The 26871-nt window shown below is 43.3% G+C and overlaps 1 protein-coding gene across 28 annotated transcripts in view; it reads left to right on the top strand.

Moving 5' to 3' along the window:
• AFF3 (ALF transcription elongation factor 3) overlaps positions 1-26871 on the top strand; it is a 597172-nt gene that overhangs the window by 450533 nt on the left and 119768 nt on the right. For 24 of the 28 annotated variants that reach the window (NM_002285.3, XM_047444286.1, NM_001386135.1 and 21 more), the window contains one exon: positions 19469-19520. In NM_002285.3, the coding sequence (NP_002276.2) occupies positions 19469-19520 (52 nt within the window). Of the gene's footprint in view, positions 1-2402; positions 9606-19468; positions 19521-19600; positions 19668-26871 lie in introns of those variants that run through there. The other 4 variants (XM_011511179.4, XM_011511178.4, XM_047444290.1 and 1 more) reach the window with 3 other exon arrangements.

Below are 26871 nucleotides of genomic sequence, written 5' to 3'. Positions count from 1 at the left end.
GCACCAGTCGCTACTTGAAACAGCTGCCTCCAAGAAGGGGGAGAAGGCTGTTCAGAAATGTACATAAAGCCTTCCATACTTTAGACCATCCTAAATTACAAGAATTTAGTCCTTTCCTGGGCTCTTGCCACTAATTAAATATGCTTGTGAACAAGACCTCTGTTAGAATGAATTTCCACCTTCTAGCTAAGAGCCCTACTATTGTGGGAGCTTTTTCCTGGAGTTCGTCTTCCTCCTGACCTAATCCTATGATCATGGGCTCTGCAGGGCTCATCCCATTACCCCACACCCTGTCACTGACAGCAGGTGAGCAGTTGACTCAAGAGACATCAGAGTGACACTTGCATTTTTGCAACTCTATCCCCACAGGAAGGATAAGTGATACAACTTTACTTAAGACTCTTTTGAAGAAAAGGTTGCGGTGCCAAAAACAAGACCAAAGTTGATAAACTGCTGGTCTTGATAATCACTAAAGCCTCTTCACCTCTAAAAAATTCTCTAGGTTGTTTTGAGGATTATGAGGCAGCAGTTGGTCTGGTGCACAAGCTCATTAATAGTGCGAGTCCTTTGTGGCCTCAAGTGAAGGCAGCTCTAAGAAAGCAAGGAAATGCTCCAGTTTGGACACCAAGCGGGGACAAGGGCACAATAGCATCAGCAACTCTGAATGCTCCAAAATAACACTCTGTCCCAAACCGCAGGCTGCAGGAGTTCAGGAGCAACATGCATTTTTAGCAGAACTTTATTATGGAGCCCTCAGTGAACAAATGAGACTCTAAGTATCCCCTTGAACCTTTTCCTCCACATGGGCGGAATGAGCAGTGACTGAGCACAGCCTGGTTTGGGTCCAGCCTTGGTAATCCAGCAGCCTGAGATGTTTCTGGAACAGGGAATGCATTGTGGATAGGAGGTGAGGAAGTCCCAGCTAATATCATTTTGGTGAGGGAGAAGAGGAGACAAGGCCAGAAATGTCAACAGTTGCTTGGCTTCAGCTGTCCTAAGTGACTGGTCCTCTGGGCCCTAGACATGAGGGCAAATGAGAAATGGGTCCCTCCAACATGCATTCCTTACTTCCCTTTGTCACAGCCTGGACATTCAAACAGAAACACACCCAGCATGCCTGGCACTGCCCACCATGCTGTTATCCGTCCCCATCTCCTTTCTCCTGACCTCTCTGCTTCTGCCTTTCCCACCAAGAAAACAGAAAGAAGGGATCTCCACTATGCCTGAGTATAAACTCTTCAAAATACACATTAGATTTTCTTTTTTTGAAAAAAAAAAAATTCTTACCTTGGGTTAGTATACTTTTAACCAAAATATATTTGTGAAAAGTCTGATTTTTTCTGGGAGAAGCTCTGGCTAAAAAGTCGTACATGGATTCTAACAGGAGTACATGTTCACTCATTCTTGCAACTTTTATTTCATAAGCACCCATACAACCGATCGAAGCCGTGGGATTCTCAGCACTTTCCAATTGAGCCCTTCCTGCTGCTGGTCTGATTCCATAATAGACAAATCTGCCCAACCATTCCTTTGTTTTTAAAGTTAATAGACAATGAACTTTAAAGATTGTGGTTATTGGCCGAGCGTGGTGGCTCACGCCTGTAATCCCAGCACTTTGGGAGGCCGAGGCGGGCGGATCACGAGGTCAGGAGATCGAGACCATCCTGGCTAACACGGTGAAACCCCATCTCTACTAAAAATACAAAAAAATTAGCCGGGCGTGGTGGCGGGTGCCTGTAGTCCCAGCTACTCGGGAGGCTGAGGCAGGAAAATGGCGTGAACCCGGGAGGCGGAGCTTGCAGTGAGCCGAGATCGCGCCACTGCACTCCAGCCTGGGCGACAGAGCGAGACTGTCTCAAATAATAATAATAATAATAATAATAATAATAATAATAATAATAAAGATTGTGGTTATTATAAATTTAGGTGTTGTGGGGTTTTTTTGGGGGTGGGGGGGTTTGTTTGTTTTCTGAGACAGAGTCTCGCTCTGTCACCCAGGCTGGAGTGCAGTCGTGTGATCTCGGCTCACTGCAACCTCCACCTCCCAGGTTCAAGCAATTCTCCTGTCCCAGCCTCCCAAGTAGCTGGGACTACAGGCACATACCATCATGCCCAGCTAATTTTTGTATTTTTGGTAGAGATGGGGTCTCACCATATTGGTCATGCTGGTCTCGAACTCCTGACCTCAGGTGATCCACCTGCCTTGGCCTCTAAGTGTTGTTTTTTAAAGTAAGCTTTTATAACTTATTTTGAGCTCATTTTTCTTTTTCTGCCCACTCCAGATGTATTTTAAATGTATTCCATTCCATTTGGAGTCGTGGATCGACTGTGCTCTTTGCAGGTCTTGTCTCCTATTTTGAAGGGGTGAATGCTCTTTTTTTTTTTTTTTTTTTTTTTTTTTGCAATTAAATAAATACCTGTGTCTCCAAGGCACTGGAGATACAGAAAGGAGTAAGGCTCAGACAGTACTGTCAACTGAGAAGCACATGAGTAGGCAGATGAGACAGACATGAAGACTAATCATTCCAGTGTGGAGTGGCAAGTGCACTAATAGACATGGGTACAGCAGAGGGTAATTCAATAAGGTCACTGAGCACCAAAAAGCTGTGCCCTTTGGGGTGGTCTTTGAGGAGTGAGTAATAAATGAGAACAGGGAGAAGGGCATCAGGCAGGAAGGGCAGCCCAGGCCGAGACTCAGAGAAGTGGAACTATAAAGACTTTGCATCATTCCAGTATTGAGTTACAGGGCTGGGACCAGGCAGCAGCTGCAGTCAGCTGAGGCCAACCATGAAGAGCCTTGTCTACCCTAAGAAGCAGCCAGTGTTAGGAATTTAAATCATAGGGGGACTGCAGCAAGGTGGGAAATAGAGCCTGGAGAAGGGACTGAAGAGAGGAGTTAGTTATGCCAGTGAGAAATGAAATGTAAACCGAAGCAGCGTCACAAGGGATGGAGAAAGGGAGGAATTCCAAGAAAAGCTTGAGAAATAAGATGGACACTGCTAGGAGTTTTGTTGTCTGTAGGGAGGAGAGAGAGGAAGTCAAAACCCACGTGCAGAGGACCAGGTGGGTGCTCGTTGGATTCCAGGTGGGGAGGTAATAGGTTCTGGTTTGAGGCCAGTCAAGGTGGAGGCACATCCAAGTAGGGATTAACTTATTGGCTCAACAAACATGTATTGTGTGGTGATTGCATGCCGGGCATTTTCCTAGATGCTGAAGATGCCCGTGAGATAAAATATGAGCTCGAGCCTCCAGGAAGCCACAGTGCAGAGATGCCCAGGCGCAGTGGCCTGAGGGGGTGGCACTTGGAGGAAGCAGTCATGGATGTCATGGTTGGGAGTGGATGAGGACATGAGAGACCTCAGAAGAAAACTGAGGCTGGATCCTAGGGTGACAGCAGCTCTGAAGGGTGGCCAGAAAGGGGTAGAATCATCAAAGGAAAAGAAAGAGCGCCTCGAGAATCAGAGAAGCTGCACAAGAACAGCTCAATGAAGGAATACACGAAATGTCACATAAATCAGAGTGACCAAGCAAGACAAGGAGACCAAGGTGTCCATTTGATTTGGCAATTGAATGCCCCCAGTAGTTTTAAGGTATATGTGTGGATATGCAGATACCTATAATTTGGAAAGTATACTGCTTTTGCTGGTCAAGCATCTGATTGCATTGTTGGGACTGAAAATGTCTTTTTGGCCAGAATTTTAACCACTTTGCACAGGTAATGATAAGCCTTTGATTTGTGTCCATCACTACCATGGGCAGCACATGGTAATTCTGCCCCTTTGCTGTATGTACAGAGTGCCTGCACCACTATAGTGTAGTACCTTATATGTGATTCAGGAACAGTTGACTAGTATTGGATTATAATCCAAAGCAAGAAAGCATGCAAGAGTCCATACTGATAGAAATAAATGACTGGGGCCGGGCGCAGTGGCTCACACCTGTAATCCCAGCATTTTGGGAGGCCGAGGCGGGCGGATCACGAGGTCAGGAGATCAAGACCATCCTGGCTAACATGGTGAAACCCTGTCTCTACTAAAAATACAAAAAATTAGCCGGGCGTGGTGGCGGGCACCTGTAGTTCCAGCTACTCAGGAAGCTGAGGCAGGAGAACAGCTTGAACCTGGGAGGCGGAGGTCGCAGTAAGCTGAGATCACGCCGCTGCACTCCAGCCTGGGTGACAGCAAGACTCCATTTCAAATGGACTTACGTTATCATAGCAATATAGGTGTATTCATTGTGACAAAGGTATCATTCTGCTGTGAGATCCTAAGGACAAGGAAAACTGGACACGGAGTATTCGAGAACCCTCTGTGTTCTCTTGGTAACTTTTCTGTAAATCTAAAACTACTATAAAAGCATATTTATAAATAACAACAGCTGACTGGCCACCAGCCTGATTCTCCCTCTAAGCCCCATACTTTCCTCCCTGCTTATGAGACCCTCGCTTGGGAAGGTTCATCAGCCTCTTTATTCCACAGGCCAGTGAGAGCCCACCTCTCCTCTAGCTCCTGTCTCCTAGAGTTCTAGGAGCTCAGCCTCGTGGCTTGAAGAGTGTCCTCGCTGAGTTCTTAGAACACTCCGTCTGTTCTCCATGACTTGAAGCTCCCACTCACTCCCATTACCCACCTGGCTCATTTGATAAAACTGGTCCTCCTTCTCCCGCATCTGGCCCCTGCCATACCGGGACATTTCTCTTCTTGTCTTGGTGTCCTGGTAGTGTTTCCCTAGCCTGACACTACCCAAATCAAATAAATAATTGTGAAGTGCCTATTTCTGAATATTTAGCTATTTACTATTAAAAATGGCTGCATGGGTGACAATGATCAAAGTGCCTCAGAAGCCAGGAATACGTTTGTGGTAGGAACACATCTCTTGGCCACATAGGAAATTGCATTCCTAGATCCTTCTCTTTGTTCTGAGTTTAATGTTACATACTCATTGCACTCAGGAAACTGTTTAAAAGATCCTGGGACAGTTTGTTGCCTGGATAAGAAAATTCAGTGAGCCTGAGTTCCCTTCCAGACTGGAGCTCCCTAAGGGAGGAACCATTTCTTATTCATCATTGGTTTGCATTGGCTGGCAACATGCCTGGCACATAAAGGCAATCAATGAAATATGACTTAAATAATTGATTACCATTGCCACAATGATAGAGGTTGCTGATGTGCTGTTATTACAGAACAGGGTAGGCTCCCAGCTGTAGAGGGCCCTTTAGGGACCATGCTGCCTGGAGTGGATCAGACAGTCTCATCTCTGCTTCCATCAGGCCATCACCAGGGTTCTCAGTCAGGAATGCCTGCTGCTGTCTATATTTGCCATGCAATAAGATTAGACGAAGGAAAAATGGCCCATTTGGGGGCTACCGCTGTACCTTAAAAATTCTACCATTAATGTCACTCCCTCAGGATCTTTGTTGCTGTTGGGGTTTTGTTTATTTGTATTTTTTTGCAATTACAGGTCAATAGAGCTTGGGAACCTGTTAGAAGGAGTCAAATCTTACCAACTCTTCAATATGCAATATGGCTGGCTCACAACTAATCCAAAGGGTATGGGACTGAGAAGAGAAACACTTTAGCAAGTAGGCAGGAAAGGAGACCCATTCCAGACCATGAGAATAGCTCCAGTTCCTTGGTCAGAAAGGAATAGTCTACATGGGAGTATGAGTCCTGGAGAGGGAGTGTGCACCTGAAGTGGTAGGGGTTTTCAAAGGTAAACTCAACTTCCTTCACAGTGTTATTTGGTGTTGGCTCTGAAATCAGTTGACTTTCTGTCATTTTAATTGAAACTGTGGATCAGGACTCTTGACTCATCTAAAATAGGAAAGTCAGAAAGTCTGCATTGGACTGGGATCCTGTCTGCTTTCTTTTTTAGATGGAGTCTCGCTGTGTCGCCCAGGCTGGAGTGCAGTGGCGCAATCTCGGCTCATAGCAACCTCCACCTCCTGGGTTCATGCCATTCTCCTGCTTCAGCCTCCTGAGTAGCTGGGACCACAGGCACCCACCACCAAGCCCGGCTAATTTTTTTTGTATTTTTAGTGGAGACAGGGTTTCACTGTGTTAGCCAGGATGGTCTCGATCTCCTGACCTCATGATCCGCCCGCCTCCGCCTCCCACAGCCTACTGGGATTACAGGTTTGAGCCACCATGCCCGGCCTGGATCCTGTCTGTTTTTATCCCTACTCTCCTGTCCTCCATCAGTGAATAGACCCACTTTAGCAGTATGGACACCATGACTTCCAGGATAGTAACTAAATAGATCGTTATTTTCCTGGTTATTTTCTTAAGCACTAAGCAGAAGCAACACGATTCTGTAGTCTGATCCTATCTCAGAAGTGTACATTCCCACTTAGAGTTTTTCACAGGAATTTTTTTTCTTGCACTTAAGATTCGTTTCTTCCAGCTGAAAGAGAAATAGATGAATATGTTTAAAAAGTTAGGAAGGCAACAAAGGACTTGATTCTGCAGTTTTACTCTTTTTTTATATAAACTCGAAATATACCTGATATAAAACCATGACGAAATGCTGAACCTTTCTTAAGGAGTGGCCTTGACTGGTCCTGGTGACACCACTTCCAACCCAGTAAATGCACCCCTCTTCTGCAATGGATATGGCAAGGCTTAATTTACATGGATTATTTGACACATTCTGTGTCACCATGAGTTGAACAACTCCCAGTAGAATGTAATTGGTGTATAGAGAGGCATGTTGGCAGGGTAATCAGGTTTCTCATTGCAAAAGCCAGTTGTATGTACCTGACAATGGATTTAGAACTCTCAATATACTTGGCCTAATTTTCAACTCTATTTTTAAAAAAGAAAGGCCAGGGGGGTGGCTCAGGCCTGTAATCCCAGCACTTTGGGAGTCTGAGGCAGGCAGATCACTTGAGGTCAGTAGTTTGAGACCAGCCTGGCCACACCATGGTGAAAACCGGTCTCTATTAAAATTACAAAAATTAGCCAGGTGTGGTGGCGGGCACCTGTAATCCCAGCTACTTGGGAGGCTGAAGCACGAGAGTCACTTGAACATGGGAGGCGGAGGTTGTGGTGAGCCAAGATAGCACCACTGCACCTCAGCCTGGGCAATAAAGCAAGACTCAGTCTCCAAAAAAAAAAAAAAGAAAGAAAGAAAAAGTCCTGGTATATAGTGAGTTTTTTTGAGATTAGAGTTATTTGATTTCTATATTCAAACCACCTGGATTCATTTTATAATGAAAAATTCTGGAAGTATCAGAGAAAATATGCAAAGTGCTGCAAAAGTGGTAGTATTAAAGCTGAATTCATGGGCTGGGCACGGTGGCTCAGGCCTGTAATCGCAGCACTTTGGGAGGCCGAGGTGGGAGGATCACTGGAAACCAGGAGGTTGAGGCTACAGTGAGCTGTGATCACACCACTGCACTCCAGCCTGGATGACAAAGTGAGATCCTGTCTCAAAAAAAAAAAAAAATGAATTCATGGAAATGCCTTAGTGTGAGGATCATCTACCAATCTCCAGCCAATAAATAGCTCATAGGATGCTTTTTCTTTAATATGGAACATTGAAGTCTTTTTCTCCTCTTCACGTTTATACGATCTGCTTATGATGTTTGTGGCAGAGAGGATTAGTGGATTAGTGTGAAAGCCTCCATCTAGTCACAAGCAGCTGAAGGTCCTGGGAGCACGTTTTCCAGGAACTGGACAGCTGCAGGGGGAGGGGAGATGGCTGCACCTCTGTAATACCCAGGTACAATGTGGTCCCCACTGCAATCACAGGAGCCAGATGGTCATCTTGGTCCACACAGCGTAGGATAAGGTTGTTAAAATTCCATGATGAGTCTTAAATGACCCCATGGCTGTCCTGAACAAGGAGGCAGATGGCTTTTTTCCTCAAGACATTTGGGGAAGGAGAGACTAAATGAGCTTAGGTGGAGAAAGCTTTAAGTTATGAGTCTTAGGCCTTAATTCTCAGAGCTGTTGACTTCCAACATAAAGCGGGTCATTCTCCCCCTACAGTCCATGCCGATAGAGCCTGTAGAGTGGACTGTGTCCCACACGTGACTATAAATTTGGAAGGACACTGGGGAACTTGTAGGAGATACAGAAGAGAACTACAGACTGAAGAATAAAACTACAAGGAAAAATAAAAGGGCCGGGATTGTCTGACAAGGAAAAAAGATGGTCATCTGTGCTCCCATAGTATTTATCACCTCGCTGGCTTTCTTTTCTGCTTCTGCTCCCAATAAGCAGTGAGACACTTGAAAAGGAAGACTTCTTCAGTTTTATATCTCTGGCACCTAGAATGTGCTCGTCGGAGGTGGTCGAGAAATTAAGAAGTTTATCTTCTCTGTTAGAGAAAGTAAATGGCTATAATCCCAGCACTTTGGGAGGCTGAGGCAGGTGGATCACTTGAGCCCAGGGGTTTGAGACCAGCCTGGGCAACATAACAAAACCTCTCGTCCCTACAAAAATTAGCCAGGCATGGTGGGCCACCTATAGTTCCAGCTACTTGGGGGGCTGAGGCAGGAGGATCACTTGAGCCTGGGAGGTCAAGGCTGCAGTGAGCTGTGATATCACACCACTGCACTCCAGCGTGGGCAACAAAGTGAGACTCTGTCTCAAAAAAAAAGAAAGAAAAAGAAAAGGAAAAATGGACTTAAATTGTAACATAGTTGTTGTCACGAGATGGAATGGGTAATAAAATTCCAGTTAGAATACTGAATATTTATTAATTACTACATACCAGACACTGTATAAAATGTTTTCTACATTTTCTACAACATTCCTAGGAGGTAAACACTCTCGTTTTTCCATTTTACAGATGAGGAAACAGAAGGCAGAGCAACTTTAAGTTCTTTGCATAAGGACACAACTAGCATGAGGTACAGCATCTGGATAGAAATCAATAAACCAGGCTTTCTGACTGCAGAGCTCATGCTCTTAATTACTATACACATCAGTCAGTTTGATCTGGAGAAGAGAAACCACTCTAGGTATTTCAAGTAGACACTTAACATAGGGAATTAGTGCCTTCCAAACCCATCAGGAGGGCCAGGGAAGGGGGACCAACAGGAAATCAGCCATCAGTTCAGAAAGTCATTTCAAGAAATCAATAAATGCAAGAATAACAGAAAACTGCTAACAGTAATCTCAGATGTCTCCAGCAGGCATTATTCACAGAAGGGTGCCTGGAAGCCACTCACAGAACCTCGTATCTGCCATCTGCTGAAGCTTCTGCACCTGCTTCACTGTCCTGGGAGTAGTAAAGGCTTCTGTTAATCTTTGATTTTCCAAGCCCTATTCAGGTGCCTCTCACTGGCAACATTTAACCAAAAACCCTATCGGCAGGGATTCTGGGGAAATGTAGTTCCCAGGCCTCCAGCCCCTGTGATAGAAAGGAGTGCTTCAAAGGGGAGATGATGCCAAGTTGCCACTAGACAGAAAACCCAGCACACTATCCTATGCAGTCTTGACGAAAGTGTGGGGACTTCTCCAGGGAGCTTGAAAGGTGTGGCATTCATAAAATTTTCTGTTTCCTCCCCAAGGCTGAAGAACAAGCTGGAATCTCAGATTCCCCAGCGCTGCCTTGTGGTTTCTCAAAACAACTACTGAAGAATTCTAAAATGCCTCGTGGTAATTCCTTAGTAATGATGGGCTTATGCCTTATCCTAGGCGTTGAGGAAACACACCCCTTCCCTTCAAGCATTCTTATTCCAATGGAAGATGGGGGGAGAGTGAAGCCAGATAAGTTAGAAAATTCCAACATAATGCATTAGTTATGTACAAATTATTCACTTAGATAAGAAGTGACTAATTCTGTCCTATGGATTGGAGATGATTTTAATAGGAAGGTGATAGTTCCGTTAGAATTAAGGCAGTGGCCAGGTGTGGTGGCTCACACCTGTAATCCCAGCACTTTGGGAGGCCAAGGCGGGCAGATCACCTGAGGTCAGGAGTTCGAGACCAGCCTGGTCAACATGGCAAAACCCTGTCTCTACTAAAAATACAAAAATGAGCCGGGTGTGGTGGCAGGCACCTGTAGTCCCAACTACTCAGGAGGCTGAGGTAGGGAGCATTGCTTGAACCCGGGAGGCAGAGGTTGCAGTGAGCCAAGATGCACCATTGCACTCCAGCCTGGATGACAGAACGAGACTCCGTCTCAAAAAAAAAAAAAAAATAGAATTAAGGCAGTGGTTCTCAACCCTGGCTGAATAGAAGATTCACTTAGGATGTTCATGTCTTAGTTTATTCAGGCTACTGTAAAAAAAAAAATACCTCAGGCTAAAGTAACAAAATAAATTGGGAAGCTGCTGAATGACAGTAATTTATTCCTCACAGTTCTGGGGGACGGGGAGTCCAAGATCAAGGAACGAGATGTGGTGTCTGTTGAGAAACTGCTTTCTGGTTCATCAACAGCACCTACGAGCTGGGTCCTCATACGGTGGAAAGGACACAAAGTCGAAAGAGCTCTTTGAGGTCTCTCTTACAGGGGCACTAATCCCATTCATGAAAGCTCTGCCATCATGAGCTAATCACCTCCCAAAGGCCCCATCTCTGAATACTATCACATTTAAGGTTAGGTTTCAATATGTGAATTTTGAGGGAACACGGAACATTCAGACCATAGCAGCTTGTCAGAAGTCCTGATGCCTGTGGCCAATCCAAAACCAATTAAATCAGAATCCCAGGGGGTAAGGCCCATAGACCAGTATCTTTCAAAACATCCCAGGTAATGCTAAACCCATTACTGAAAACTCCTATGAAGCTTTACAGTTTACAATGGGCTTTCACCTTTATTGTCTCATTTGAATCTCAACTATCATCCCCTTATATTAATGAACAAACTAAAACTTAGAGTATGGGACTTGATCCAAGGTGCAGAGCTATTCATGACCTTCAGCTCTTATGAGTCAGTCCAGCTCTGTGTTATATAGTGGGTCCCAACATTGCTGTGAATCAGAATATCTGGGGCTGAGGCCCATGAATCAGCTCCCTAGGGAGCTTTAAAAAAAGAAAAGAAAAAAAAACCTGATGCCCAGATTGCACCCCAAACCTATCCCGTCAGAATATGGGGTTGGAGTGGAGCTGGGCATCAATAATTTTTAAAGATTCCCAAGTGATGCCAATGTGCAATAAAGTTTGGAAACCACTGTGTTATGCCATCCTCAGGTAATGTGTGAACGCTGGTATAGCTTAAAGTGCATGGATTTGCTAATTAGGAGATTATGCTTGGTTCTCTTTTCTAATTCTAACAGTTTATCTGTTCAAATCTCTTAATTAGGGACTCTTTTAGCAATTAACTTATCAATAACAGCAGCCATAAAAATGCAAAAACTGATGTTTCCAACCAAAGAACAAATCTTAACCTGATGTATGTTATGACCCTTACAGATTCAATGCATTCTTATTGTCAGAAGTTATTAAATAAGCACACCATTAGCTAGCAAACAGAATAGGCAGCTAACTTACTTATTTACTGATTATCAATATTCAACATCAGATTTGAGCCATATAAATACGTACATATCTCATTTCCCCTCTGGTTAGGTGCACATCCCCCTTCAAAGAGGTTTAAGTAATGTCCACCACCAAATCTGTACAGCCACAGAAACTTTATGTTCCCAGTCAGAATCCTCTGACCTGTCCTCTGCTGTCTGCCCGGGAAAGGATCATGTTCTTTCACACACTACTTGCATTCATTTAGCCTTAGAAACTCAATTCTTTAATACTGAGAACATCGAGCTCAGAAACTAATTTTCTAGAAGTCCTTAAAACAGACAAAGACAGGATTTAAACCCATCTTCAGGGAGAAAGCACTCCGGGTTAAAGTGCTCTTTCTAAAGCCTCAGTTTTTTGATAGAAATGATAGAGTATATCCAGCCCTCTTTCCCTGTAATTCTTTTAGGAGGAAGCAATTTTAAAGTCTAATATATTTGGAGAATGCTACTTCATAACTGTGGCCTAGATTGCCCTAAGTGGAAAAGATGGAGCATTTTTATATTTTCACAATCACACAAACCGTGTGTGGCACTTACATATTTCTAGCTGGAAAGCATCATGGGATGTTCAAGGAACTGCTGCTGCTCCCAGTAAACAGTGAGACACTTGAAAAGGAAGACTTCTCCAGTTTTATATCTCTAGCACCTAGAATGTGCTGAGTAGTATCAGATCATCTCATTCTCCAGCAGTCTTCCTGGACATTCTACCCATTGGTAAAGGCACAGAACCAAGGAATTCAGACCAATAAGAGGATATATAGTGGTTGTTTTATCCAACTCTCACTTTGGAGATGTGGAAACAATGTCTAGGGGAAGTGGGTGATTTGCCTAAGTTCACAGAGCTAGTTAGGGACAGAATTCAGGCTAATGCTGGCTAGCCTCCAAGCTGCCATTTCAAAATTTATTTCACCACCCCAGACTCTGTACCACTGACTGTTTCTTCTTATGACTGTTGATTTCCATTTTCCTTTTATTTCTGCTTATTTTCTATTACTATAGATATGCTTACTGTTGGGAAAGACAGTTGACTGATTGAGATTTTGAAGACACACATCATCCAGCATCTCACCAGGATTTGGCAGGTTTCCCAAATGAGACTGGCTTTTGTGAGGTTCTTCTAGGGTAGGAGATGAGATGCCGTCCCCCAGGGAAGATGGGCCTGCAGAGAAGGTGGCAAGTGGATTCAGCATGTCAGTGGAGAAAAGGACCATCAGAAGTTGCTGTCCCTAACTAAAAATAAGGTCATAAACTTAAGCGAGACAGTGCACCTTCACCCCAGGTTCAACATGGCAGAGTTACAGGATCATGGATGATTTCACTGACAATCCCTCCCCGGGAGGGAGGGAGTCCAGGAAGGAGATATGTGTGAGCAAATACCACCTTGCTATGGACCAAAATTGCTTCAAAAGATGTAGAGATCCCTGGGTTTTAAAACATCAGAGTTGGAAACACTTAGGTCAAGTAGAGCACCCCTTCATCTTGTTCCTGATTTCTCCATTTGCCTCCAGACTAAGTGAGTTCACCTGTGCCTTGGATGCACTAAATTGCCAACCCCTAGAGTGAGCCCATGCTAGCCTTCCCTGTTCCCAGTTAGCTGGGATGGCATGAGCTAAGTTCTTCCGAACAAACGCTGAGAAGAAGGTGGTTACTTGTTAATGAAAATAACCACAGGCAGATGGTAGCACTGACCCTGACAAAGCAGTAGACTTCAGAAAGAATGAAATGAGTTGTATAACTTTCCCTCCCGTGTTCCAAGCAGTGGAGATGATGGCTTGGGGAATAACTGCAGAGAGATGCACTTGCATAATGAATAGGCTCTCAGGCAATGCTAATTGTTAGAATAGACATTTGCATATATGAATATGTTTAATGGAGATTCATAAACATTTGTCTTAGGCTTTAAATCTCACGTAGGTGGAGATAGTAGCAGCACCAGCTATAGAAACAAATCTGAAAATCAAACAGCCCAATTAAAACTCAGATTTTTTAAAAAACCATTAAAACAAAGCAAAATGAAATGACTTTAAAGGACTAAAGGATTCCGATCTGTTAAGGGCCCCAAATGACAACTAATTCAGGGAAAATCCTATTAATTAAAAACCACTACTCTGTGAAATGGCTGCCATTACATTTGCAGGTAGTTAACGTGCCCGTTTGCAATACCTGTGGAAGATATAGATGAGCTTTGGAAGCAGTTGGCCATCTGTTAAGTGTAGGCTGCTATTTCTGCTTCCCAAGAAATTTTAGGCCTCAAAAATGCAGGCGCCAGCTACAACATAAATTTATCACTTGCTCAATTAAGAAAACAATACACACAGGGAAGTTATGGTAATCAAATGTTAAAATTGCAAAGGTTGTACTGAATTACTCCCTTTTCTGAAAAGTACTGAGTTTACCTTCAAATGACACAGTTGGGTTCTGCAAAAGTTGTATTTGCCAGAGCTTCACAATTCGAAGGCATTTAAAAATACGTAAAATGACAATGCTGATTTGAATGTCGTGTGTGAGGGGAACCACCCCTGGGAGACAGTACACCTTCTGTGGATAGGTGCCTGCCACACAGTGGACACAGAAGTAATTGAATGAGTCAACAGTTGGGGGTTTGGCCAGGCGTGGTAGCCGGCGTCTGTAGTCCCAGATACATGGGAGGCTGAGGTGGGACGATTGCTTGAGCCTAGGAGTTCAAGGCTGCAGTGAGCTATGATTGGGCCACTGCACTCCAGCCTAGATGACAGAGCAAGACCCTGTCTCTAAAACAAAACAAAACAACAATTGGGAGTTTGGATACTGGTTCCGCTGGTGGTGATGAGGCATGTTTCCATTCATCTTTCCCTTTCAGAAAGAAAAAGGTCCTCCAGGGTAGTGCTCGGCAAACTGCAAATGGGCCTGTTTATCTTTGGCTCCCTCTTTAGAGTTCTGAATGAAAGTCCCATTGTGTCCTTTCCTCTACGGAGCTCCTGCAAGGCCCGCTCTCCCTGCATGAAAGCGTGAGCGAGTGCAGCTGGGGGCTCATAACCCTTCGACTCCTTGTCTGCGTGTCAGGAAGGGTGTTACAACATGCCCAACAATCATTGTAAGGACAAGTTCCCAAGTAAAAATAGGTGGAATCTCAATCGCTTAATCGCACGTTAAAAAAAATCTTGCTTCTGTCCTTAAAGTGTCACAGTTCTCATGTAGCTGGTTCAGACTCTACTGTAAAGTCACCATGAGGTGCTAACGTGGAGTATCCCTGACAGTAGTTTGATAACTCTTCAAGTGTTAAGGCCATGAAGTCCAGGTCTGTTCTCAATTCAAAAAGTTCAATTTTTTTTTTTTTTTTTTTTTGAGACAGGGTCTTATGCCCAGGCTGGAGTGCAGTGGTACAACCTCGGCTCACTCTAGCCTTGACCTCCAGGGCTCAGGTGATCCTCCTACCTCAGCCTCCCTAGTAGCTGGGTTTACAGGTCCATACCACCATGTCTGTCTAATTTTTATATATTTTTTATAGAGACAGTATTTTGCTATATTGCCCGGGCTGATCTCGAACTCTTGGGCTCAATGATCCGCCAGCCTTGGCCTCCCAAAATACTGGGATTACAGGAACAAGCCACCGCGTGCAGCCAAAAAGTTCAATTTTAGTACCTATTTTATTTCAACTTCCCCATTGTCATCTGGCAACACCCCCTTGGCTCCTCGTGGAGGGACTCCTGGCCTCGTGGCCACCCGCTAGCTCCCAGGGCAGACCTCTCCGTGCACTGGGGCTGATAGGCGTGTTTACTGTCCTGTCGACATAAAGCCACTCAGACCAGCTGACAGCAGTTACAGGCCAAAATATATTCCCCTCCACCATCTCTCAGGAACATGACCCTTTCTTTTCAAAATGGCCTGAAAATAGAGCAAATGGCCCTGTTTTAAGGCATCATTACAAAGACATCTCAAAGTCTCAACTTGTTTATCCACATGAGTTTCTTAAATGCTCTGAGGCCCACTTCCCTCCTAGGGAAAAGGGAATATTGGTAAAAATGAGCATTGATAAAAATGAGCATTGATTGGAGGCTCCCTGGCGTAAGGTCCCGTGCTTAGCACTATCCAAGGATTGTGGAGTAAGTTCTCCAGGAAGCCCTCTGAGGCAGGTCCCAGGGCCCTGGGCTAGATGAAAGGCAGAGCTAGCATTCTTCCTGGGCAGTGTGACGCTGGAGTCCCTGCTCTGACTACCACGGTCCACAGCCCCCTGTAGCACCCACCTCCCACCTTGGAGGAGTTGCTGCAGGGATTGACAAAGTAACATCTAGAAAGTACTTAGCTGGTCTGCTACGGACGGACATCCCTTAAACAATGAGAGCTGCTGCTGTGAGTTGAGGGCTTCATCCCCTGGGAGGGATCTGAAGAGCTATGAAGGGGAGGGGCTAAGGGAACGTGAAAGGGGTGGCCCTGGTTGGGGGCCCCATCAGCTGGGGTAGGGCCTGGAGGAACCCAGGAGTAGGGGTGTAACCAGGGTGCTGTGGATGGATGCACAGGCCCTGTGCTTCCATGCAGATGGCTAGTCCTTCCGTGCAGATGACTTAGCCCTCAGGAGCCCCTTAGAGCAGCAGGGTCTTTGCCTTCCCTTTAAAAAAAAAAAAAAACAGTAGGAGATCTCCACCCCTCCCCAGTAGCCTAATCAGCACTTAATTTGCATCTTCCTTTTACTCTTGGTTGAACACTTTTGTTTGTTTATTTATTGTTTGATATACCTATGTTTCCACAGGGAAACAGACAAATGATAAAAATGTTCCCCAGGGTTTGGGAGTGGGTTGGGCCCATGACCACCACGGTGCCATTTGTGTGTTTGGTGAAGGCGGCCATGCCTGCTGTCTGCTGGCCATACACCAAGTACAGACAGTTCCTATGATCCTGTGAGTGTCACGGGTTTTCTCTTCTCCTAACCATGTTTCATTGTTCAGCTATAAACTTCAGCCCCTCCTTAGGCTCTCTAAGAGGCCACTTGGATATGTTCAGCATTCAACATGGAGTTGTTTGTGAATGTTAAACCGGACTTGAAGATGCAGTGGTCACAGACAAGAACAAGCGCCGTTTGCTAGGGAGTTGAGCCAAGGGCCTGCTCATGACCATCAGAATAAAGCAAAGGGTTCCTGCTCTCAGACCGCGGGGAGCCTGGGTCTCCTCAGGGTGTACCTCTGTGCCTGTCGGGGCTGGGATGCGGTATGGCCGTGGTCGTCTCTCCCAGGTCTGTGATTTCATGTTTTGGGAATAGCATCACCCAGGATTGCTCCGGGAATGTTGTATAAGCTGTGTGAGTTTGTGTTTCCATGGCCACTTTCTCATATTTCGAAATATTCTGAAGTTTAGTTAGATTTGAACTTCTCTTGAAGTCTCTCTTGAAGGCAGTGTATTTTTACATGTGATTTGTTGTATTTAGAACCCAGCCGGAAACACAATAAATTCATTTTTTTAATATAAGAGAGGTAAAGTCAGTGACAGAGTGATGATTATTCACAAAGCAAGGTTGAACTCTGACTGCTTTTCTTCTGGAAATGATGATGAGATAGATGAGTCTCATTATAGAAGCACAAATGCTCAGCCCCAGAGGTGCACCTCACACAAGATTGTGGTGCAAGGGGCTCTGAGATTCAAACAGATGCGTGTTTACGTGTGGACGCGTTTAGCACATGTTTGAAATAAACAGAAGTAAGCTGCATTCCCTACCTTGAAAGAGAGCCTCACACAGCAGCATTTTGACCGTTGTGGTGACTTTCAGCCATGCCAGGCTCATGTGGTGACTGAGTTGCACGGCTAGTTTGCAGCCAACCCAAGCTCCCTCACTTCGGGCCATGTTGGGCTTTCCTGCTCTGGGGGATGATGGCCTTCCAATCCACGCACAGTATTGTCCATTTAAACATTAAATTTCCCAGCCACACAGCCTCCATCTGACAGCAAGGGGGTTGTTAACCATGATTGTGTGAGTCCTCCCCACTCTTTCCACCCCCACCAGCAGGACCACCCACCCTTTAAAGACCCAGTGCTTGCTGGGCAGTCCTAGAGATTAAACCACACTGCAGTGGTGGTTTACCCAAAAGAGGGCATGGGAGTGGAGGCAAGGACCTGTCCCCTTCTCTGGTCTTTTTCATTAGGAAGAAATCTGTGCCTTTGGGTAGGAAAACAGTCTTGGGGAAGGGGCCTCATCCCAGCCAGCAAACTGGCGTTGTGTTCTGTGCCGCACTGTGCTGGTCACTGGGGACTCAAGGACAAAGGAAACACAGCCCACTTCCCTAGGCTACTCCCAAACAGTGCTCTAATAAATCACCAAGAGGTCTCTTCTCTTTGAAGCCAAGCGTATGTGTCTGTGAGGTGAAGGAAATGAATGGCGTGCCAGACATGCAGAGGAATTGGGGGTGCCGCTTTACAGCCTCTGCTGACGTGTTCATTTGTTCACTTGTGGTTTAAATAATAGAAGAACGACACCTCTCGGCACTGGGAGATGAGCAGGAGCCTGTGAGGAAGCAGATTTGGTGCCCTGATGGCAATGCCTTAAATAGTACCCTAAAAACTACTTAGAAGTTTCTCCGTTGTATTCTCTAGAGCAAATAGAAGGGTTTTTCTCCTTGACGAAACTGGGGAGCATATTTATTTTGTAGACTCACAACGGAATCTAAAGCAGGATTCAACCTTAGGATTGCCCTCTATAACACGTCACTGCACAAATAGGGAAATGGGGTCAGGGTGCGTGAAGCGACTCACCCCACATGCATAGACAGGTGGGGCAGAGCCTGGGCCATGCCTTATCCTGCCAGTTCTTTACCCCCCAGTTCGCCCCAAAAGTGACTGAAATGACTCCTACGAATGTTCAGAGGCATGTATCAGTGATAGGCCTACAACCGGCTTTTAAAGGACACTAGGTACATTTTAGGGGACAGCCTTTGGAAGCTGGCTTCAATGAGGCCTTTGAGCACAAGGGCTCAGCGGGCTTCACACTGATGTATGGAGCCCCAGGGTCCCTCAGAAGTGGGCTCTCCCCTGCTCCCTCAGAGCGTCTCTGCGTGGAGAGCACGCTTTTATACAGTGCACTTCTGAGTAAGATTTCTTTTGAAATGAATTAATCTGAAAACTACTATAAAGAAAAATTTAGCCATGCTGAAAAGAATACAGTGTTATCATAACAAATAACAGAGTCTGAAGTTCTGTTTCTTTTTTTCACTTTTAACCTCGTGCTTCCCCGCTGTCTCCTCAGGATGAATGGGGGGACCTGGGTGGGCTGGGGAATCACCTTCACAGGCTTTTCAGAAAGCGCCCTCCTGCTTGGTTTTCCCCACTAGGTAGGATCTTGGGGACAACATCTTTTCCAGCTCTTTGACTGATGGATGGCCTAAGAAGCTTCGCTCACAACTCAAGTTTATGGCTTTATGGCTCTTTTTCTCATCTCTCTTTACCATGAAAGCCCCTGGGGCAGGCACGGAGACACAGCCCAGCACTGGGAGCTTGGAAAACACTAAACAAGTAATTGTGGAATGCAAACTGCCCAGGGGAAAAGCCCCTATGTATTTGAGAGAAAAAAAAAAAAAGCATCTTCTTTTTTATTGCTATTTTCAGGTACGTGTGATATTTTGATACAGGGATTCAATGTGTAATGATCAAATCAGGGTAACTAGGATATTCGTCACCTCAAATATTTATCTTTTCTTCCTGTTGGGAACATTCCAATTCTTCCCTTCTAGCTATTTCGAAATATACAATACGTTATTGTTAAGTATTATTTCCCTGCTAACACAGCATCTTCTGAAAGCTGCCCGTCTTAGCTGATGACTGTTGTGAGGGTTAATTTTTATGATGGGGCTGTCTACTATTTCCTAAGTGCACCAGAGGAAAAGTGCATAAGAAGGAAAGAAAAAAAATAGGAAATCAAATAGACTTATTTCCAAAATGTTGCTCTAATAACAACATTAAGGTGATATTTTGGTGCTGAATTATTCTGAATCCACTAACTATCTGTACCTCTTTGTACCTCTTTGTTCCTTCTTTCAGAATGCTGGAAGATGACCTTAAGCTAAGCAGTGATGAAGAGGAGAATGAACAGGTAAGATTCTCTTTTATGTCATCATCCTTTGGAGGTGACACTGGTAACAGTTACCTGGTGGACTGTGCCGGGTGTTAACCAAGCTGAATGGTGGCACTCCAGGCTGCTGGTCTTTTGTCTGCTAAGTGTGAGCTTCTATGCAGTTGGGTCAGTATATTAAAATAGCTTGCCCATAATTTCCCTTAAGCCTTGAATTCTGTAATTTTTTATGATATTGAGACCAGCAATGGGTATTACAAGGAAGCTAAGATCAGGCTTCCCTCAGAAGTAGACAGAGCCTTTTTTTTTTCTTTTTTATTTATTCATGTGTGTGTGTGTGTGTGTGTGTGTGTGTGTGTGTGTGTGTGTGTGTGTGTGTGAGAAGCTAACTGGCCTTCTGGAGATCAAACATATGACCTTAACCTCATCAGCATGCAACAGGCAATCCGTAACATTAAATATTGAGAAGTCTTACACAGATATTATTAACATTGAGAAGGAGCAAATGTAGAGGTGAGCCAAAATGATGAATAAAAAGTAATTATGCTCAGTATAGGCTGTTTGTCTTAAATGATAAATGTGCTTGAAATATTCTCCCCTGGTGTTGATTTATCAGCTCGAGACATCAGTTAGGGGGTTATAAATACTCTTCTGATCAGTCAGTTAAGGTGAAAAAATATCCACTTAACATTCATCACTTTCACTTCTGCATTTCAAGAAATGTTTGTATTTCAAAGCAAGTTTAAAAACACTAAAGACAGATTTTTCTACACTTCTGTTTTCTTTTTCTCATCCCCTATGTTGTATTTTGTCAAGTTTAGATACATGTGATGGGTAGAAAGACAATTCAGAGAGGCTTTTTTTAATAAGTCATTTTTGTATGCAGTACAAAATAATAATGCTGTTCTGTTGGTTTTGGAATAGTGAATTAATAGAAAGGTATCATGAAATGCTATGCAGATGATTTGCTGTCTAGACATGCAAATACAAATAACTTACAGAGAGAACAAGCAGAGGTTAAATAAAAGTCAAAGGAGAATTTCGAGGAAGAGTGAGCAGAGCATAGCTATGAGGTCACAGAAGAGGTTACTCATGTCATGGGAGAAACTGAGGCACGAAAAAGGGAGAAGAGCTTGAGGAGTCTGGAAACCAGATTGGCAGGTGGAGAATACCCAGTGGAAGAAGGTTAACTGGGCAAAGAAGGCCACTCAGGCTTCGAGTGTTTTACAGATCTGTTGATTTGTTTCCAGGGCAGCCAGATATCTGCCACACAGCAATCTTAGCAGAAATGTAGAATGACTTCACTCCTAATTTTGGCTTCTTATCTACATGATGATAAGCAAATGATTTCAACTCTTTGTGTTTTTTCCCATTAAGTGGCCTGGATACATAGATTATGGATTAAATCATATCAAACATGTAAATTGTGTATGCTTTTTATTAGAAAAAGGGTTCACAGACTATTTCAATCTGCAAACCTTTTTAAATTTGGAAATAATTTCCTGAGCTATTTCCAGGAAGTATTTCCAATGAAAACTCAATTTTAATAAACATTACTAATGACGTACTATACATGTTCTCTAAGGCAGTAAGAGCTTTTAGTTGACTCATTTTGCTTTTTAAGCTACCCCCTTCCATTCTGTACTCATTGATAATATTGTGTTATGAATGTACAGGTCAGATCCTTTATTCTTGCATTTAATTCCTATGTGAATATACCTTCCTATTTTTGCAATAAAAGGAACTGACAGAATGAATAATTTTTATACATTAATCCCTTTTTCCTAATTAAGACTCCAGACAGTGGTTTTGCGTATGATAGTTTAAGTTATTGCTTCAACAGTAATTGCATTAAGTTGTCCTGCTTTGGCCTATAATTATAACCTGGTCTAATCACAAAGTTGTAATTCCCATACTTTTAAACAAGACTAATGATATGGTATTTTTTTCTCTTCAAGACCAAACTATGCTTTATCCCGGAAGCAGCATAGCCGGTGCACGAACACACACACACACACACACAGACACATACACTCATTCCCTGGCATTCTGAGATAATTGAACATTTAACATAAATGATTTTTCTAGATGTAATCAGAGTTTGCACCGTAAACCCAAAATATTTTAAAAATCCCTTGCCTCAGTAAACACTACAGTGTATGAAAAATCCTTAACCTTTTCTGACATTATATCTGGCTGTCTTTGTGAATATTGGTTCAACCAGCCCATGTGCCACTGTAATAAAGAGGTGTCTACAAGAGCTTCAAGTTGCTATACCTGCCTGCCCTTCCTCAGATCGCCTCAGACTCCATGCTTTTGAACACTCCTATCTGAGGTTTCCTTTTCTCCCCATTGCCTTTGTGATCCTGAAGGTCAAAAGACAGTCTAGTTTAGTGGTTAAGAGCACAGCGGCCCCACTTCAAGGGTTCAAATCCCCACTCTGCTACTTAGTTTTGCAACCTTGGCCCAGCCTCTGAACTGTTCTCTGCTTCAGTGTCTCTGTTTGTAAAATTGGAATTAATGCTAGATCCCCAAGCTGCCACTTCATCGAAATTTGAGGTCACCCATCATCTTCGTGTCACCAGATCCAATAGGCATATTTTGTGTGTGTACGGAGTTTCACTCTTGTCGCCCAGGCTGGAGTGCAGTGGCATGACCTTGGCTCACTGCAACCTCCGCCTCCCAGGTTCAAGTGATTCTGCTGCCTCGGCCTCCTAAGTAGCTGGGATTACAGGTAATTTTTGTATTTTCACTAGAGACGGGGTTTCACCATGTTGGCCAGAGTGGTCTCAAAATTCTGACCTCAAGTGATCCACCCGCCTCGGCCTCCCAAAGTGCTGGGATTACAGGTGTGAGCAACTGTGCCCAGCCTGTTTGTATATGATTTATAAAAATGATATGTCTTTAAAAATGATTTTATATGTGTATGACATAACCAATATCCAGATGAAAATACAGACATGACCCAGGTGCCCCCATGCTCCCACCAGTCACCACTCTGCAGAAGAATAACCACTTTCCTGTTTTCTAACACCATAGTGTAATTTTGCTTATTTTTGCACTTTGTATCAATGGAATTATTCGGCATGTACTCTTTGTGTCTTGCTTCTTTCATTCAACATTGTTTATGAGAGTCACCCATGTTGTTACCTGTAATTGAAGTTTGTTCATTTTCATTGCTGTATCCTATTTCATTATGTGTGTATGCCATAATTTACTTATTCATTCCACTGCTAATGGGCATGTGGATATTTTGGCAGGGGTCGGGGAGTAGAATAGTGTGCTCTTATCAGCATCCTTGTACAGGTCTTTTTATCCTTGTACAGGTCTTTTCATCCTTGTACAGGTCTTTTGTTGAGCACATGGGAACATTTTTGTTGGATCTATGCCCAGAAGTATAAATGCTGAGCAGTAGGGTATGTGCATGTTCAACTTTAGTAAATTATCTCAAACCATTTTCCAAAATGGTTGTACCAGTCGAAAGTCCCACCAGCAGTGTAAGAGAATTTCAGTTGCTCTACATCCTCACCACACATTTGTCTTTTTAATGTTCATGAGGGATATTAGTTGGAAGTTTTCTGTTTTATACTGTCTTTGGCTAGTTTTGATATCAGGGTAATACTGATCTTATAAAATGAATTAAGAAGGGTCCCCTGCCCTTTTCTCAAAAAGATTATGCTTTTAAAAAATGATGTTAGGTCGGCCACAGTGGCTCAGGCCTGTAATCCCAGCACTTTGGGAGGCCAAGGCAGGTGGATCATCTGAGGTCAGGAGTTCAAGACCAGCCTGACCAACATGAAGAAACCCCCTCTCTACCAAAAATACAAAAATTAGCCAGGCGTGGTGCATGTGCCTGTAATCCTAGCTACTTAGGATGCTGAGGCAGGAGAATCGCTTGAACCTGGGAGGCGGAGGTTGCAGTGAGCCAAAATTGTGCCACTACACTCCAGCCTGGGTGACAGAGTGAGATTCCTTCTCGAAAAAAAAACAAAACAAAAACAAAAACAAAAAGATGATAATTATTTAGCAGAATTCTCTAGTAAAACCATATGGGCCTGGAGATTTTTAAACTTAAAAATTCTATTTCCCGGCGGGGTGTGGTGGCTCATGCCTGTAATCCCAGCACTTTGGGAGGCTGAGGAGAGCAGATCATGAGGTCAGGAGTTCGAGACCAGCCTGGCCAACATAGTGAAAACCAGTCTCTACTAAAAATACAAAAATTAGTTGGGCATAGTGGTGTGCACGTGTAATCCCAGCTACTCGGGAGGCTGAGACGGGAGTATTGCTTGAACCCAAGAGGCTGAGATTGCCGTGAGCTATGATCAAGCCACTGCACTCCAGCCCGGGTGACAGCATGACTCCATCTCGGGGAGAAAAACAAAAACAAATTTTTTTTTTTGGGAGATGGAGTCTCACTGTGTCACCCAGGCTGGAGTGCAGTGGCGCAGTCTTGGCTCACTGCAAGCTCTGCCTCCTGGGTTCACGCCATTCGCCTGCCTCAGCCTCCTGAGTAGCTGGGACTACAGGCGCCCACCACCATGCCTGGCTAATTTTTTATATTTTTTTAGTAGAGACGGGGTTTCACTGTGTTAGCCAGGATGGTCTCGATCTCCTGACCTCATGATCTACCCGCCTCGGCCTCCCAAAGTGCTGGGATTACAGGTGTGAGCCACCACGCCCAGCCAAAAAAAAAATATTAATAGTTATAGAGCTACTCAGATTATCTAATAGTCATAGGGCTATTAGATTATCTGTTTCATACTGGGTATAAGTGGTACACTGTTCTTCAGTAATAAGTCTATCCGTGTCACTTAAGTTGTCATGTTTATGTGGATAGGGTTGTTTATAATATTCCTTTATTATCCTTTTGATGACTGCAAGATCTATAGTGTCAGCCCGTTTCATTAGTGATACTCATCATTTGTCTTCTTTCTTTTTTATATCAGTCTTGCTAGAGGTTTATTAACTGTATTGATCTTTTGAAAGAACTAGCTTGTTGTTTCATTAATATTATCTATTTGTTTTTTCTGTTTCAGTTTCACTGATTTCTTATCTTTATTTCCCTCCTCTTGCTTGCTTTGGGTACATTTTTGCCCATTTTCTAGTTTCTTGAGGGAGATTAGATTATTGATTTGAGATTCGTTCTTTTTTATGATATAAGTATTTAGTGCTATACATTTGACTCTCAGCAATGCTATAAACTTTATCCCACAAATATTGATGTGTTGTATTTCATCGTCATTCAGTTCAGTAAGACTTCTTTGACTCATGGATTATTTAGAAATGTGTTGTTTAATTTTTAAGTGCTCAGAGATCGCCCTTAATCTTAACTTTTATTGGTTTCTAGTTTGGTTCCTTTATGGTCAGAGAACATAGTCTGTATGACTTCAATTCTTATACATTTGTTGAGGATTTTTTATGACCCAAGATATGGTTTGTATTGGTATATGTTTTATAGGCACTTAAAAGAATGTGTATTCTGCTGTTGTTGGGTAGGGTGTTCTATTAATATCAATTAATCTTATTTGATGTTCTTTTGTATCTTTTCTGGACTTTCTGTCTCATTGCTCTATCTAATGTTGAGAGAGAGGTGTTGAAGTCTCTGGCTGTCATTGTGGATTTGTTTATTTCTTCTTTCTATTCAATCGGGTTGTTTTCACATATTTCACAGCTCTGTTAGTTGGTGTGTGTACATTTAGGATTGCTATATTTTCTTAGATTGACCCTTCTATCATTATGTAATGTCCCACTCTGTCTCTGGTCATTTTCTTTGCTCTGAGGTCTACTTTTTCTGATAACAGCACAGCTACTCCTGCTTTATTTTGATTAATGCTTTCATAATGTAACTTTTTTCCATTCTTTTACTTTCAGCCTACCAATATGGTTATATTTGAAATGAGTTTCTTATATACAGCATAAATTAATAGTTGTCATATTTTTATTCACTTTGCCAATTTCTGTGTTTTAATTGATACATTTAGACCATTTACATTTAATGTAATTATTGATTTGTTAAAGCTTAAGTCTACCACTCTATTTTTTGTTTAGTTTCTTCCTGGTTTTAATTTTCTTTTTCCTGCCTTTCTGTGTATTCCTTAAACCTTTTGAATTCTGTTTTGATTTGTCTGTAACATTTTTATGTGTATCTCTTTGTACAGCTTTTTTAGTGGCTATTCTAGGTATTACACTATATATACATAACTTATAACAGTTCGCTGGTACTGTCATTTTGCATGCTTTCTCCCTTAATATCCTATAATTACCTTTGTTACAGAATGAATAATAATAGGTGATACAAATGTAGTTTTCTGTCTTCCCAACTTCATAAGTAAACAACCTGAATTTCACCGTGTATCTTATTCATCTTTATTTCCCTACCTCATACCATGGCTGACTGGCTTCTAGCAGAGAAACCTAAACTTCTCAATACCACATCTGCACCACTGCTTCCATCTTCACTCATCCTGTGTCCTCCTGTTGTGAGAGGACACTGCCCTGCTCCTATCCAAAGTTCATCCATTTCCTCAGAGCTACATAGAGACTTGTTCTTTTGATCTCATTATGACCCCATCTCTTTACCAGAAATGCTCCTCATTGGGCCCCCAATGACCTCTGTAGAGCCAATTATACTGGGCTCTTTTCAGTCCCCTGTCTTACTAGAAGACTTACAGCATTGAACACTGTTCATCACCCACTTCTCTGTAGGAGTCTAACACCACACTCTCCTGGTTTGGGTCCTGCCCCTCTGGCTTCTCTTCTCAGGCTCTTTTGCTGACTCTGATTTTCTGCCCAATGTTGGAAACTTTCCATGTTTATTCCTGACTTTTCTTCTCCATGTCTGCTCTCTGGGTGATCTCACCCATTCCTATGACCTTCAATTTTTATATACTGACAATTTCTAAAGTTATATCCCCAGCTCAGAACTCTCTTCTGAACCGCAAACCTACTTTACTTTTCCACTTGGATGTCTCACAGACATTTCAGATTCAGTCTGTGCCCAACTGGACTTCTGGCCTTTGCCATCACTACCCAGACACACAAACATGTTCGTCTTGTTATTGTTCCCATTTCCAAAACTAGCACTGCCAGATGCCCAGCTGTTCCAGCCTAGAAACTTCAGACTCATCCTTGATGATTCCCTGTTCCTCACTCAGGTAGTCACTTCATCTCTAAGTCCTATAAACTCAGCCTCCAAAATTAAATATTGGTCCATCTACCTCTTTCCATTCCCAGCTAGTCAAAACCAGTCTGGTATAAACTATTGTATTTCTATTTCCTGCCCTCTGTAATACAGCCTCCCCACAGTGATCTTTTAAAAATCAGATCAAGTAATTCCTTGGTCTAAAATCTTAAATAGGTTTCCCATCCCACC

Source organism: Homo sapiens, chromosome 2 (genome assembly GCF_000001405.40).
Source record: "Homo sapiens chromosome 2, GRCh38.p14 Primary Assembly".
Classification (NCBI taxonomy): domain Eukaryota; kingdom Metazoa; phylum Chordata; class Mammalia; order Primates; family Hominidae; genus Homo; species Homo sapiens.
Note: the sequence above shows the minus strand (reverse complement) of the source record. Positions and strands in the feature narration are given on the sequence as shown.